Raw genomic sequence first — 14,676 nt, 5'->3', positions numbered from 1 at the left:
CACTCCCCACTATGGCACAACTCTGGGTGGGTGGCCTGCCCATGCACGCACCTTCTCCTGGCTGGGCTCAGTGACTGGTCCTCCTCTCTACCCCAACCCTCCACACCTCCTGTGGCTTCTGGCCCCACTTGCCTTGGATGGAGACCTCTGCTTGGCTTGAGCAGCTGCAGTGACAACTTTTCCAGGGGCTGAAATTGTCCCTTTTGCTGAAGGTGCTCTGGCGGCAGCTGGGTTGGCTTTGGCCTGGGTTTTCTTTACTGAGGTTTTCACCTGAGTGGAGAAAAGGGAATTAAGGAGGGAGAAGGTGAGATTGAGTAAAGCAGCTAGCCAAGAATACAGACTCTGGAGCTGGAGCCCGAGTCTGGATTCTGGCTCCTCCATGCAATAGGCGTGTGAACCTGAGCTCATCACTTGATCTCACTGGGCCTCAGTTCAGTCCTCTATCAAATGGAGATAATAATAAGGCCCACCTACGGGTTATGATGAAGACTAAATAGGAGATTCAGAGTTTAACATGATGTCTGGAACATAATAAACACTCAAACTCATTGTGCGTGCCTTCCTTAGCATTAGCTAAGCACAAGACTACCTAAAACAGATGTTTTCCAGGCTCCCTTTCAGCTAGGTGGCAATGTCATTAAATTCTGGCTCATAGGATGTAAGTTGAGTGCCATAAAAGGTCAGAAACATGTCTCTTCCTCCTCCAGGCTAGATGGAATGCTGAGGTCAGAGCTGGAGCTCAAGCAGCCACGGCAGAACAAGATACTTGTTGTTTAAGGTTTTCTTCAGCTTAATCTAGCCTTAACCGATATCCAGAGAACCCCCAAAAGGCCTGTCAGGGATTCCAACAAATAGAAGGAGAACAAAAAAAAAGGGAAATTCCCAGAGTGAGATCCTTAACAGGAGTGACAGCAAGCCTAATGTGAAACAGAATGAGGACTCTGGCAGCATCTCAAGGCCCCTGCCTCACTCAGGGATGGCATCTGGTCAGTGTCAGAAAACAACCCCATCCCCCAGCATTCCTCAAACACATGAGGTCAAATGAGGTGAAGAATCAGGACTTCAAGAAGATTCCCTACAGTGTGGACCAAGTATGACTCAGGCCGAGGTGCTCATCAGTAGAGCACGTAAATCCTCCAGAGGGGAGCCATGTTTTCCACAAGAAACAAGACACAAGACTGACTTGACCTAACAAGTCTCAATACACAAAAAAGGATTTAAATCATACAAAATATGTTCTCCAACCACAATGTGACTAAATTAGAAATCAACAAAAAGAAACCTGGGTAATCCCAGATATTTGGAAATTAAACGGCTTACTTCAAAATAGCCCATGGTTCAAAAAATAAAAATAAAACACCCACCTCATGGTACAGGTGGGAGGCTCAGAAGGGAAGACAAATATTTAAGTGAGCTGCATAATGAAACTCTGTAAGGCATTGGGTCTGGAATGTGCCTGCAGCTTGGGAAAGAGTAGAGGCGGCTCTGGAAGGGGCCCCTGCAGAGCTTAAAAACCTCAATGGAGGAATTCTAGAGCCCTGAGGTCCCACAAGTCAACGAGAGGAGGACAAAAAAAAATCAGTAGAAATGTGTGCTCTGGTACAGAGAAAAAAGAAATGACTAATTTCTGAGTGGTTACAGAAAAAAACAGAGCGACAATTAAAAATAATAAACAGTGGGTGGGTGAGTGCAGGGAGTGAGCCATCTTCTCTCAGCTCTTCCAGGCTTGGAGACCTCACTCCTGATCTGTTCCACATTAGCCTGGCCCATCGTCAGGGTGACAGAGACAACTTGCTGTGTGCAGCTCCCTTGCTGGGTGTAGCAGGTGAGATCTCACCTAAATTCTCACCCAAACCTGTGAGGGCTGATTTCCTGTTTATAGGAGAGTAAGGGCTCTGAGGGCTTACAGCACTTGCCAGGCTGTGGAGCTGAAACTTGAACCCAGGCGGTCTGGCTCTAAACAACTGCCAGCCATCCCACCACAATGTGCCGCCTGTGGCAAGGCACCCAAGCCAGGCACTCTCTCATTCCCTGGCCTCGCACAGACTGCTTCCTCTGCCTGGAACACTCTCCCTGCCCATTTCACCTGGCCAACTCTTTCAGCCCATGGCTCAGATGCTGCCACCTCCTGTAAAAGGCCTAGATGCTCTCACCTGTCATGCTGCGCAGCCCAGGCTCACACCCTCTATCTCAACCCCATCGCTCCACACTGCAGGAGCATGTCCATGCTCCACAGAGACAGGACTTCCCTGAGGAACAGCGCCTCAGCAACCCCAGACAAGGGCAGCACCTGGCAGGGTGGGAACTCCAGAGCTTGTGAAAACCACAGGGAATCAATCAGCAGGAGGACCTCAAAAGGCAAACAAGACAGAGACCCTGGAGCTCTGATGGGCAGAGGAGACATGGAGTGAAAGATAGGGAAGGAAGCTGTGTTGAGGCTACCTCTGAGGCTTCTGCACACCTGCAGGCAACACTAGCCCCCAGTCAAGCCCATCCTCAGCCCTGGCTCAGGAACAGGTGTGGGTGGGATGGGCCTGCTCCTTCTAGGCCTCACCTGTGCTGGAGATGCAGCTGCTTCCTCACTGTCTGATTCCTCCTCACTGCTCTCAGAGTCTTCCTGCTTTTCAGCTTTCACCTGGGTGACTGTAGGCCCCGTCTTCCCAGGGAGTACTGGAGCAGTCCCTTGCCCCAAGGACCCCTTGACAGGCACTGAGGCTGCTTTCACCTGGAGGCCTTTCCCCACAGACTTTGCCTGGGATGACAAGGGGAAGAGAGGTGTCTCCAGGAGTCCAAAGGACCACGTAGGGGCGGCCCTGAGGCCCGCCCAGAAAACACAGGCCTCACCTGTCCCACGGTTACTGCAAGACCTGTCTTCTCTTCCTCACTATCTGATTCCTCACTGCTTGAAGAATCCTCTGCTGGTCTCTGGGTGCCCCCAGCCACAGCTGGGGATGAGCCTGCTGGAGAAGTCGCAGTTCCTGCTTTCCGGGGGGCTTGGGTGCCCACTCGCACAGGGGCGACCTTGGCAGATGCAGTGGTATTGGTTTTCTTTGGGCAGGCCTTGGTCTGAGGAATTTTCAGAGCTGGTTTTGCCTGAGGGGACACCAAAGAAAGGCTGGAGAAGGTTCCTGAACTCAGAGTCCCCCATCTGTTCTGCCCCACCAGCCAAAACCCATGCTCTGCCTGAGGGAGCACAGCTCCCCGGGGGTGCTGACTGTGGTGTGGCAGATCAGGCCATGTAGCAGCCTCCTTCCCCAGGCCTCACCTGAGCTGCAGTCATGGCTGCTGGTGCCTCCTCACTGTCCGCACTGTCCGATGACTCCTCGCTGCTCTCCGAGTTGTCCATGGGCTTTTCAGCCTTGACCTGGACGGCTACAGGCCCTGCCTTCTGAGGGGGCCCCTTGGCAGGACTGGAGGTGGGTTTGGCCTGGAGGATGTTCCCCAAGGACTTTTCCTGGAGTGAGATACACAGGATCGGGAGAGGGAGCCCAGGGTAGGTGTGTGCAGACATTAAGAAACTAAGATTGTAGACAGAGTCCCAGTGTGAGGTTGGGAGGCCACAGGCAGCTCCACTCTGAGTGGGGGGGAAAAAGAAAGAGCCTTACAGGAAGGGGCCTCACCTGAGCCGGGGCCACAGCTGTGGGCACCTCTCCATCACTGCTGTCTGATGACTCCTCACTACTGCTCTCTGAGTCCTCCTCCCACTTCCCCACCTGGGCTGAGGGGGTTGCAGGCCCCACCTTCCCGGGTGGCACTGGGCCGGCGCCTTTCCCCAAGGGCCCCATGCCCATGGTAGAGGCAGGTTTCACCTGGGGGCTTTTCCCCAAGGGCTTCACCTGGGAGACACAAAGGACAAGATTAGGGAGGGAGTCCAGAAGGAGAATGTGAGTGAGGGGAGGAGAGCAAACGAAGCCAGCCGCACAGGGCTCTAGGTTCAGAGAGGAAAAGTCAAAACCACAGGAGGTCTTTTGAGGCAGGGCACAGGCCATGCAGGGCGGCTTCCAGCCTCACCTGAGCTGCATTCATGGCTGCCAGTGCCTCTCTGTCACTGTCTGACTCCTCGCTGCTGCTTCTTGAGTCCTCCTCCTGCTTCCCCACCTGGACCTGGGCGGCTGCAGGCCCTGTTTTCCTAGGAGGTGCTGGGGCAGCCCCTTTCCTGGGGGACTCCTTGGCAGGGGCCGAGGCGGCTCTGACCTGGGGGGCCTTCCCTGAAGGCTTCGCCTGGAGTGAGAAACAGGATGAGGGGAGAGCCCAGAGGGTGGACGTGTGGAGACAGGAGCTGGATGTGGCAAAGGTGGCCACACCCATGCAGGTGCTGGGGTTTAGGCATGGGGCTACTCTCCACCCCTCCCCTCTGCCTCACCTGAGCAGGCGCCTCCTCCTCACTGTCCGATTCCTCGCTGCTGCTCTGCGAGTCCTCCTCCCGCTTCCCCGCCTGGGCCTTGGCAACTGCAGGCCCTGTCTTCCCAGGGGGCGCTGGGGCAGCTCCTTTCCTGGGGGACTCCTTGGCAGGGGCTGAGGCAGCTCCGACCTGAGAGGTTTTTCCTGAGGCCTTCGCCTGGAGAAACAAGACAAGGGGAGACAGCCCAGAGGATGGACGTGTGAGGAGACACAGGACACCACGTACAGAAGACCAGATAGGGCAAATGATGCCACACAGTGAGAGGGGAGTAAGGGGCTGGGGTCTGAGGCACGCCCGGGGCTCTGGCCCAGAGTGGGAGAACAAGTCCTGAGAAGGCCTTCTGGGGACGGGCCTGGCTGCATGGAGTCTCCCTCCTCAGGCCTCACCTGAAGCAGGGCCTTGGCAGCTGGCGTCTCCTCCTCACTGTCAGATGACTCCTCGCTGCTGCTCTCTGAGTCCTCCTCTGGCTTCCCTGCCTTGGTCTGGGAGGCTACAGCCCCTGCCTTCCCAGGGGGTGCTGGGGTAGCCCCTTTCCCAGGGGTCCCCTTGGCAGGGGCTGAGGCAGCTCTGACCTGGAGAATTTTTTCAGAGGCCTTTACCTGGTGAAAAAGAAAGGGCAGCTTGCTCTCCTGCTTGTGAAAACTCTCTGGTGATGCCTTTAGGATAAAGTCCAGAGGCCTTAATGAGGCTCCTAAGACCTCCCCTGCTTCCCTCCCCACTCCCCACCTTGACTGATACTTTGGCCACACTGGCCTCCTGGTTTCTCAAAAATCGATCAGCTTCACACACTCTCACTCCTGGAGCCTCCATGCCCCCTGTTCCATTTCACTTAGCCACTGCCTCCTCTGTCTCTGGCTCCCTAAGAGACACCACTTCCTTAACATGGTTCCCCCTGGTGCCCCAGCACACTGGGTAGTTAGAGCCTGTCCTCTGCTGGGCTCCCACTGGCCAGAGAGCTCTGGAGGCACAGGCACTGGCTTATCGGGAGCATCATCAGACTGGGCTGTGGGGAGGGGGTGTGCAAAGGCCCAGGGAAGGGAAGGAATGAAGAGGCAGTCTGAAAGTGGGGAAGGGACTGAGGGAGGCCCTCACTGGACTTTCTGCACATGGACAGCAGCAGGACCCCTGGAAGCCCACCCTCAGCCTCATGGGGCAAGGTTTGCACACCTGGCCCCCTCTTCACTAACTCCTCGGTGGGGCTCTGCACTGTCTTGGGGCTTTGGCAGGGTGGCTGCAGGCCCTGTCTTCCCTGGAAGGCCCTGGGTGTTCAGCCCTGGGCCAACAACCCTAGAAAACAGCAGCTCTGATCTTCTAAGAAGCTTCTCATGCAGAAAGTGCAGGCTGCTCCACACAGGTCTTGCTTGGCTAGCTCCTTTTTAAATTTTTGAGCCAACATGGAGAAAGCAGATTTTACATAAAAGTTCACATTTATGGCCAGGTGCGGTGGCTCATATCTGTAATCACGGCACTTTGGGAGGCCAAGGTGGGAGGACTGCTTGAGTCCACAGCTTGTGAAACACAGTGAAACCCTGTCTATACACACACACACACACACACACAAGCTGGGTGTGGTGGTGTGTGCCTGTATTCCTAGCTACTCAGGAGTGAGGCTGCAGTGAGCTATGATTGCCGCTACTGCACTCCAGCTTGGGCAACAGAGCAAGACTCTGTCTCAAAAAAAAAATTCACATTTGTGTTCCTTCTCAAAGTGGATGCCCATCCAACACTGTGTAGCCCCCAGACACTGCAAAATAGACAGCCGAGGCGTAGAAGTTCCCTGTAGATGGGGTGGGAACAACAATTTGTCACAATTCGTAGTCCTACTTCTACCTCAGGGCCTTGACACTTGCTGAGCCCCTGCCTGGAATGACCTTCCTAAGAGTGCTTCCTCCTTCTGGTCTTTACTGAGACGCCTTCTCCCAAGGCCAGCCCAGAGCACTCTGCTTCAAGTTGCCATTCCTATGTCCCCCACTTCCTCTTTACCATTTACCAGCAGCTAACGCAGGGGATCTGCTTATCTACTGCATGCCCCCGCCTTGTCCTGCCCCAGGCCTGGGGCTGGGTGGGTGACCCTCACTCTTCCTCCTTCCTGCTCTGACTTCCATTGCTTTCCAGCCCCCCTGTCTTGCCCTTGGGATACACCCAGGGCCTTGGGGCTGCAGCCCTGCCCACTCCCAGCAGATGGGGAAGGGAACTGGATTCCCTTTAGCTAACGTAGTGTTTGCCTGCTCAGGGTCTGGTTTGTCCTGAGAAGTCAGAGGATTAGGCAATCAAAACTTCTCAAGTCCCTCACAGCAGGACTGGCTGGGACGAGGACAGCGGCCCATTTACTAGGCAGAGAAACTGAGGTAAAGTTGGTCACAGACAAAGTGGAGTGCAAGACTCCCCTGTGGGAAGCAGGCTGTTCTTGCTCTTCAACTTCACACCATAGTCCTCCCTCTCCCCAACTCCAGTGGCAGAGGTGCTCATGGCAGAGTGCTCAGGCTGCTGGGGGACCCGCAGGTCCTCCAAGGGGCAGCCCTCCTCCAGGCCTCACCTGGCTTCGTGTCCCTGCAGGGGCCTCCTCCTCACTTTCAGATCCCTCCTCACTACTCTCTGACTCCTCTTCTGGCTTCTTGGCCCTCTTGGCTGGGGGCAGGGCCCCTCCTTTGACCTGGGGTGTCACATCCCCCACCTTCCCAGGGGCTGGGGCCGCCTTTCTTGCTGGAGACTCCTTAGTAGAAACTGATGAGGCTTTGACCTGGGCTGGTTTTACTGAGGGTTTCCCCTGGAACAAGAGGATGGAATTAGAAAATGAATAATAATTACTGTTTCCCCCTAAGGTTCTGTATTAGGGGCTTCAGCAGTTGATAAAGCTCTTTCCTAATGTCACTGGATTTTTAAGCAACTCCCTGAGACGGCTATTAGCTTTAGATCCATTTTCCAGAAAAGTACACAAGGCTTAAAGAGGTAAAATCACTCATGATCAATATGAAGGGACAGAGCCCCACTGGAACCCTGGACTGTCTGACTTTGGAACAGATCTCAAAACCATTACGTTCATCTCCCACCTGGCACACACCGGGCTTGGCCTGAGAGAAGGGCTTGCATCTCAATCAGGAGAGCGCATCCTGTCTGCCCCTTAAACTCAAGTATCTGATCACAGCAGCCCTCCTGAGGGCCAGGAGTTCAGGATGTGAACACCACCTCTGCCACTGGCTTGCCACACCTTGGGCAAATTCCTTCCCTCTGTGAGCTCTTTCCTACACTTCCACAATTCAGACATTTCCCAGGCAGTCAGTGCCCTACTTCTACCTCTGAGATCCATCAGACCCCTTGCGGCCCTGGGTTTCTGGGGCGTCTGCTACTGGAGCTCTGCACAGCCTCAGCCCATTGAGGTTGTGTGTTTATGGAGGGCTGGGAGTGGTCTTCTTCCCTTTGGCAAGGCCTGGGGTGACAGAAGCCAGGGATGTCCTTACAGCTGGTGGTATCTAGGGCGCAAGGGTGAGGACGGAAGGTGGAGGGCAGCCCTTGGTAAGGCCTGGGGTAGATGGGGGTGAGCTTTCAACCTTCACAGGGTTACTGGGCCAGGCAGCACAGTAAAGTGAGAAGTTCCCTGGGCACCAGATCAGTTCATCCCTGACTTGTGCTGGTTTTCCCTTGAAAACATCTTTCCAACTGTGGACACCTTGGTCTCCCAGCCCCCAGCCTCTTATGCCAGTATCAGTATTACTCCAATAGTCTCCTACATGGTCTTACTGCTTTTATTCTGCACTGCCCTCCAACCCAGGCTGCAGCCAGCAATCTTATTAAATGCAAATCAGGCCATCTCTCCTTGCTGGCATGGCTTCTCACAGCCCCTAGAATAAAACCCAAATTCCTTATGGTGGTCCTCAAGGTCAGACAGAAGATCTGGCCCCTGTCTACCTAGGACTTCATCTTGTGTCACTTTCCCCATAATTTATTTGTTTTTTTAAAAAATAACATCTTGTAGAGACAGGGTTTCACTATGTTGCTCAGGCTGGGTTCAAACTTCTGGCCTCAAATGATCCTCCTGCCTTGGCCTCCCAGAGTGCTGCACTTACAGGTGCGAGCCACCGTGCCTGGTTTCTCCCTCTCATTTAAAGATCAAGGTTTTGGCCAGGCGTGGCGGCTCATGCCTGTAATCCCAGCACTTTGGGAGGCCAAGGCACATGGACCACTTGAGGTCAGGAGTTCGAGACTAGCCTGGCCAACATGGTGAAACCCTGTCTCCACAAAAAATACAAAAATTAGCCAGGCGTGGTGGCGTGCACCTGTAATCCCAGCTACTTGGGAGGCTGAGGCACGACAATCGCTTGAACCCGGGAGGTGGAAGTTGCAGCTAGCCAAGATCGCGCTACTGCACTCCAGCTTGGGTGACACAGTGAGACTGTCTTAAAAAAAGATCAATGTTCTTTAAAAGCACCAAACTCTCTTTGCCGCCTTCTCTGCACATGCCATTCCTTCTGCTTACGCCTACTCATCAACGTCAGGTTCCTGCCCTGCGTGGCCCTCTACATTTCCACTTCATAGCAGCCATCACCAATTAAATATCTGAGGGACGCTCCCTTGCCCCATGGCAGCAGGAACTCTGCCTGTCCTGCTCATCACTATATTCCCCAGGTCTGCCACTTAGTAGGTACACAATAAAAAGTAACCTGTGGAGACCTTTTCCAGGTCAAAGTTCACAAACCCAAGAGTCCTGCCCAACTCTAGCCAAGTGTCTAGGCCTGGCATTCACCAGTTGGCCCAGAACCCTCTCAGCAGCCGCAGCCCTAGCCAGACCACGACAGCCACACTGTTGCCTCTGGGCCCTGTTCTTGCCCCATTTCCTGTCTGGAATGCCCTGCCTCCTCCACATCCCTTCCCAGTGAAGCCCACTGTGCTTTGAGGCCCTACTCCAGGGCACCTCTCCCAGGAAGGCTTGTCTAGTCTCACAGGCAGGAGGGTGTCCCTCTCCTGCCCCCAGGGCTGATCTCACACTCAGAGTGCAGCAAGCAGCACCAGACTCCTCTCCCTGCCCCTCTCCGGCTGCAGCCTTTCCAGCTCCTGGTCACCCTACCACAGTTGCTGAACTCATCTGGGCCCACTGGTGTCTGAAGCCCCAGACAGGTTCCTGGAAGGGTTAGAGGCTGGGAGAGGGCAACTCCTAGGGATGGGTGGCAATTACCTCCACGTCTGTCTCATCACTGGAGCTGGAGGTGTCCTCGCTGGAGCTGTCGGCCTGGCCCGCTGACACCATCCCTGAGGATCGGACACGGAGGGGACTGAGGGACTCCCTTTCCAGCCTCACCTGCCCCTCCCCAGCACCTCCCCACAAACCAGCTGCTCATCAAAGCCAGGTGCTGAGCGCTCACCCCTCGTGTGCCTCACATGCACTGAGCTGTGAAGCCCCCTTCTGAGGTGGGTACCATCACCATCCCTATGTTCCCACACATCTCTGAGGCCCTGGGAAGGGCTGTGAGGGGACCCAACAAATATGCACCAGCACCTGACAGTCTACAGAACCTCCATCCACCATCATATCCACTGATGCAGGCCAGACAGATGTCTACTCTACATAGGAAACAGAGGCAAATCAGGCCTTTCAGTTTAGTCTCTGAGCTGCCAGTTGTCCCTGTAACTCACCAGGGAGTCATAAAGCAGAAAATGCTCCAACCACCAGGTGGGCTGTTCAGCCTGAGGCCAGGTCCCTGTAAGCTGACCCTCCCTCGTCTAGGTGATGAGAAAAGTCCTAAGATGCAGGAACCTGGCTGTCCTGGAGACAAACTTTTGATTCCAGAAATGTCCCAGAACTTAAAGCAATGCCTAGGCCTGCCTCACCAGCCCAAGTTCTGGGGACTAGGTTCCTAGAGGTGGGGACTTCTTACCAGGCTTGGCAGCAGCTCCAAAGGCCGGGACGCTGCCCTCCTCCTCAGTTTCTGAGACCAACGTAGTATTTGCTGAGGGCTCTGCTGACTTCCTGGGAGACTTCCCAGAAAGAAGGTTGGCCACCGTCTTCCCAGTGGCAGGGTGTGGCATGGAATTCCCAGTCTTGCCAGCTTTCTCTGTCTCTGCCTACAGAGAACAAGAGTGACAGACACATCTGGTATGGCATGGTGAACTAAGAGCACAGGCCACTTGCATCTGAACCCAATCTTACCACTTCTTAGCTGTGTGAGTTTGGGTAAACTACCCCTTCAATCTGTTTCCCAATCTTTAAAGTGAGGTTAAAAACAGCACCTCCTCTCACCAGAGGTGTTGAGAAAACAGAATCCCAGTTCTTGGGACATGGTAGTTATTTACTAAGTGGTAAGTAGCAGTTTGTTGTTGATCTTATCATTACTTCATAATTACTTTGAGACATTGTTGCTAATGCTCCAGGCAATCGCAGAGGCACAATTCTTTATACATGTATGTATCTAACTCTGCTTTCTGGATTATTAGAAAATGACACCTTGTTTTTTGAGCAGTTTCCAGTTTGGAAAATGCTTTTAGAGTTTCAGAACCACAGATGTCTTGATCACTACGGTGCCTCCACACCTAGCACAGTGCCTGGAACATAACAGGTATTAGTCAAGATCTGTTGAGTGAACGGGTGAACGCAGGCATGAAAGAGGAAAGAAATCGCCTACCCCAGGTGTAGAATGTGCCCAGTGGCCCACTGCAGCAGGCATCATCCTTATCTTTATAGAAAAGTAAACTGAGGCCCAGAGAGGTGAAGGGACTAAGATCCCACAACTGGTGACACAGGTTGAGCTCTGAATCCAGGTGGGGCAATTACTCACAACCCTATCCTTCTCTGACATGTAAGACTGTCCCCTACCAGGCACCTTAAATCCCATAGGCAATAGCTTGGAAGGCAGTCCCACTCACCTTGGCTTTTTCTTTCATGCTTGATGGCAAGTCCGCCCCCAGGACTGAGGAGTTGGTAGATGCTAGTCTTGGGGCTGCAAGAAACAAACATCTGCTAAAGGAGCCAGATGAGCTTTTCTCATCTATGAATGGCAAACAGGTTTCATCTCACCTAACAATTCTATTGGTATTGGCTGCCTGGTGCTGGCATGAGGATCTGAGGCTGAGCCCAGACTTGCAGGAATGAGCTCTGTGATGCATCAGCCAGGTCCACCAGGAGCAAGAGAGAAGAGGATGGTAACATGAAGCTATGTGTCTGCATCCTTGATGGATTCCCAACTCCCCCGCAGCATGAGACGTGGAGGCCCCTGGAGGGAAAAGGACTGGCCCACATTCTTGCTGCCTACTGGGCACTGCACACTGCAATGGGCACCATTCACACAGGCCACCACACTGTAGCCCTGAAAGCTGTTCGGCAAGAAGGGGCAGTGGTCAGGCAGGCAGCCAGCCTCAGGTCCACAGAGAAAGTTGCCTGGAATTCAAATGGCTTCTTAGTGGAGAGGTGGCTGAACCATGCCACCTGGGCCCCGTTAGATATCGATATTCACTGATTCTCAGTGCTTATTTATTTACTGGGACAGAGTCCTGCTCTGTCGCCCAGGCTGGAGTGCAGTGGCACAATCTCGGCTCACTGCAAGCTCCGCCTCCTGGGTTCACACTATTCTCCTGCCTCAGCCTCCTGAGTAGCTGGGACTACAGACGTCCACCACCATGCCTGGCTAATTTTTTGTATTTTTAATAGAGACGGGGTTTCACCGTGTTAGCTAGGATGGTCTTGATCTCCTGACCTCGTGATCTGCCCACCTCGGCCTCCCAAAGTGCTGGGATTACAGGCATGAGCCACCGCACCCAGCTTCTCAGTGCTTTTATACCAGGGTATTGTCTCCTTAAATCTCAGATTTCTTTTTGTTAAGAAGAATGTTGGGCCGGGCGCGGTGGCCTCACGCCTGTAATCCCAGCACTTTGGGAGGCCGAGGCGGGTGGATCATGAGGTCAGGAGATCGAGACCATCCTGGCTAACAAGGTGAAACCCCGTCTCTACTAAAAATACAAAAAATTAGCCGGGCGCGGTGGCGGGCGCCTGTAGTCCCAGCTACTCGGGAGGCTGAGGCAGGAGAATGGCGTGAACCCGGGAAGCGGAGCTTGCAGTGAGCCGAGATTGCGCCACTGCAGTCCGCAGTCCGACCTGGGCGACAGAGCGAGACTCCGTCTCAAAAAAAAAAAAAAAAAAAAAAAAAAGAAGAATGTTGCTGAGATGAATGGCATGATCTAATTCTTTTCCTGGCACTTCACTCCATCTCTCTCTTTCTGTAATTATGGAAAATTTTTAAGTAGTAAATAGAAAGGAAGAACCAGGCAGCTCCAACCATTAACAACTTGTGACCAATCTTTTCATCTCATGTATTATCTCACTCACCCTTCCCCATCAAGCATTACTTTGAAGAAAATGCCATAGATCCTACCACGTTGCCCACAAATACTTCAGCATGTTTCTCTCTCAATGAGGATGCGTTTTTAAATTTTTTTTGAGACAGGGTCTTGCTCTGCTGCCCAGGCTGGAGTACAGTGGCACATTCATAGCTCACTGCAACCTCCAATGCCTGGACTCACATGATTCTCCTATCTCAGCCTCCTGAGTAGCTGGGACCACCAGTGCATGCCACCATGCCCAGCTAATTTTCTTATTTTTTGCAGAGACGGAGTCTCACTATGTTGCCCAGGATGCCAACGAGGACTCTTCTTCCTTTTTTTTTTTTTTTTGAGACAGTCTTGCTCTGTTGCCCAGGCTGGAGTGCAGGCACAGTCATGGCTCACTGTAGCCTTGACCTCCTGGGCTCAAGTAATCCTCCCACCTCAGGCCTCCTAGGCAGCTGAAACTACAAGCACACGCCACCATGCCTGGCTAAATTTTAAATTTTTTGTAGATACAGGGTTTTGCCATGTTGCCCAGGCGGGTCTCCAACTCCTGGGCTCAAGTGATCCTTCTACCTTGACCTCCCAAAGTGCTGGGATTACCGGTGGGTGTGAGCCACCATGCCCAACCCAGTGAAGACTTTTAAAAAAATAAAATTACATACCCGGAGGCTGAGGCAGGAGGATCACTTGAGGCCAGGAGTTCAAGGCCAGTCTAGGCAACATGGCAAGACCTCATATCAAAAAAAGCCCCAAACAAACAAACAAAAAAATGTAATTACACCTCCATTATCACAGCTTATAAAATTGATTAATACCAAATAGCCAATCAGTAAGAAATTTTACCATTTGTGTTTCAAATAGCATGCAGGTCTGTATATATGCATGTAAGAATACATGTTTGAATGAATATAGAGGCAAAGGAGGAAGTTTTAAAGGTTACCTATGAGGAGATGCACTTAGGAATGATAGGGAACAGGGTAGGACAACAAAAAACCTTTAAGTTTTCTTCTATATGCTCTTCTACAGTTCAAAGTGAACTCGTTTTGCATTTATAATGTAAAATTAAGCGATATATAATATATATCCAGGGCGCAGTGGCTCATGCCTGTAATCCCAGCCCTTTTGGAGGCCAAGGTGGGCGGATCACCTGAGACTAGTCTGGCTAACATTGTGAAACCCCGTCTCTATTAAAAAAAAAAAAAAAAAAAAGAAAGAAAAAGAAAACCCACAAAATTAGCTGACAGTAGTGGTGCATGCCTGTAGTCCCAGCTACTCGGGAGGCTGAGGCAGGAGAATCACTTGAACCCAGGAGGCGGGGGTTGCCCTGAGCTGACATCACGCCATTGTGCTCCAGCCTGGGTGACAAGAGTGAAACCCCGTCTCAAAAAAATAATAAAATATATACCTAGTATGATCTCAAACACTTTAAAAGCAGACTCAGGAAGCTGGGCATGGTGGTATGTGCATGGAATTCCACCTACTCAAGAGGCTAAGGCAGGAGGATCACTTGAGCTCAGGAGTTCAAGACCAGCCTGGACAACATGGCAAGACTTTGTCTTGAAAAATAAAAAATAAGTATTAAGAAATGTGTCTTCTATGTAAGCAAAAGAAGATAATACGATGCAAAGGAGACACAGCAATTCCTCTGTAGAGTTATGGCTGCTGTTGGGGAAAGTACAAGGAGCCCTGGGACCTTAGGAGAAGAAGGGGCTATAAAAGCTTTGACTGAGTTACTCCTGCAAACGGTGTAAAACCAGTGCCCAGTACAGCGTTCCAGTGCTAATGGGTACAATTCTAAATGAACATGAAGATCAGCAATTCCTAAAGCATCCCACAGGTCACACAGAAAATGTGTCCGCTAGCTGCTTTCTGAAATCCCTCCAGCAGTACTTCTGAACGTGTGTCTTCTTTCCAGCTAATAAGAATCACCTGGGAGCCTGTAATAGGGCAGCTCCTGGGCCCCA

At 52.4% G+C, this 14,676-nt stretch overlaps 1 protein-coding gene across 50 annotated transcripts in view, besides 2 other annotated features; it reads right to left on the bottom strand.

Moving 5' to 3' along the window:
* The window catches only part of TCOF1 (treacle ribosome biogenesis factor 1), a 42,597-nt gene that overhangs the window by 21,119 nt on the left and 6,802 nt on the right, over positions 1–14,676 (bottom strand). For 27 of the 50 annotated variants that reach the window (XM_005268502.5, XM_005268504.5, XM_005268506.5 and 24 more), the window contains exons 4-15: positions 11,258–11,331; positions 10,273–10,459; positions 9,573–9,646; positions 6,939–7,169; positions 4,789–5,001; positions 4,364–4,558; positions 4,012–4,221; positions 3,621–3,836; positions 3,266–3,454; positions 2,845–3,093; positions 2,555–2,752; positions 133–270 (exon numbers count right to left, since the gene is read on the bottom strand). In XM_005268502.5, coding sequence (XP_005268559.1) covers positions 133–270; positions 2,555–2,752; positions 2,845–3,093; positions 3,266–3,454; positions 3,621–3,836; positions 4,012–4,221; positions 4,364–4,558; positions 4,789–5,001; positions 6,939–7,169; positions 9,573–9,646; positions 10,273–10,459; positions 11,258–11,331 — 2,174 coding nt within the window. The remainder of the gene's footprint in view (positions 1–132; positions 271–2,554; positions 2,753–2,844; positions 3,094–3,265; positions 3,455–3,620; positions 3,837–4,011; positions 4,222–4,363; positions 4,559–4,788; positions 5,002–6,938; positions 7,170–9,572; positions 9,647–10,272; positions 10,460–11,257; positions 11,332–14,676) is intronic. The other 23 variants (XM_005268507.5, XM_047417652.1, NM_001437406.1 and 20 more) reach the window with 1 other exon arrangement.
* Positions 1,942–2,464: an enhancer, noted in NCBI's record as "H3K27ac-H3K4me1 hESC enhancer chr5:149756274-149756796 (GRCh37/hg19 assembly coordinates)". NCBI's record gives its function as "activates a minimal SCP1, AML or CMV promoter by ChIP-STARR-seq in naive H9 embryonic stem cells {active_cell/tissue: H9 hESC(naive)}" and the evidence as "EXISTENCE:reporter gene assay evidence [ECO:0000049][PMID:30033119]".
* Positions 2,988–3,510: an enhancer, noted in NCBI's record as "H3K4me1 hESC enhancer chr5:149755228-149755750 (GRCh37/hg19 assembly coordinates)". NCBI's record gives its function as "activates a minimal SCP1, AML or CMV promoter by ChIP-STARR-seq in primed H9 embryonic stem cells {active_cell/tissue: H9 hESC(primed)}" and the evidence as "EXISTENCE:reporter gene assay evidence [ECO:0000049][PMID:30033119]".

This window comes from Homo sapiens, chromosome 5 (assembly GCF_000001405.40).
Source record: "Homo sapiens chromosome 5, GRCh38.p14 Primary Assembly".
Taxonomy (NCBI): Eukaryota; Metazoa; Chordata; class Mammalia; order Primates; family Hominidae; genus Homo; species Homo sapiens.
This window is presented reverse-complemented; position numbering and strand designations above follow the sequence as displayed.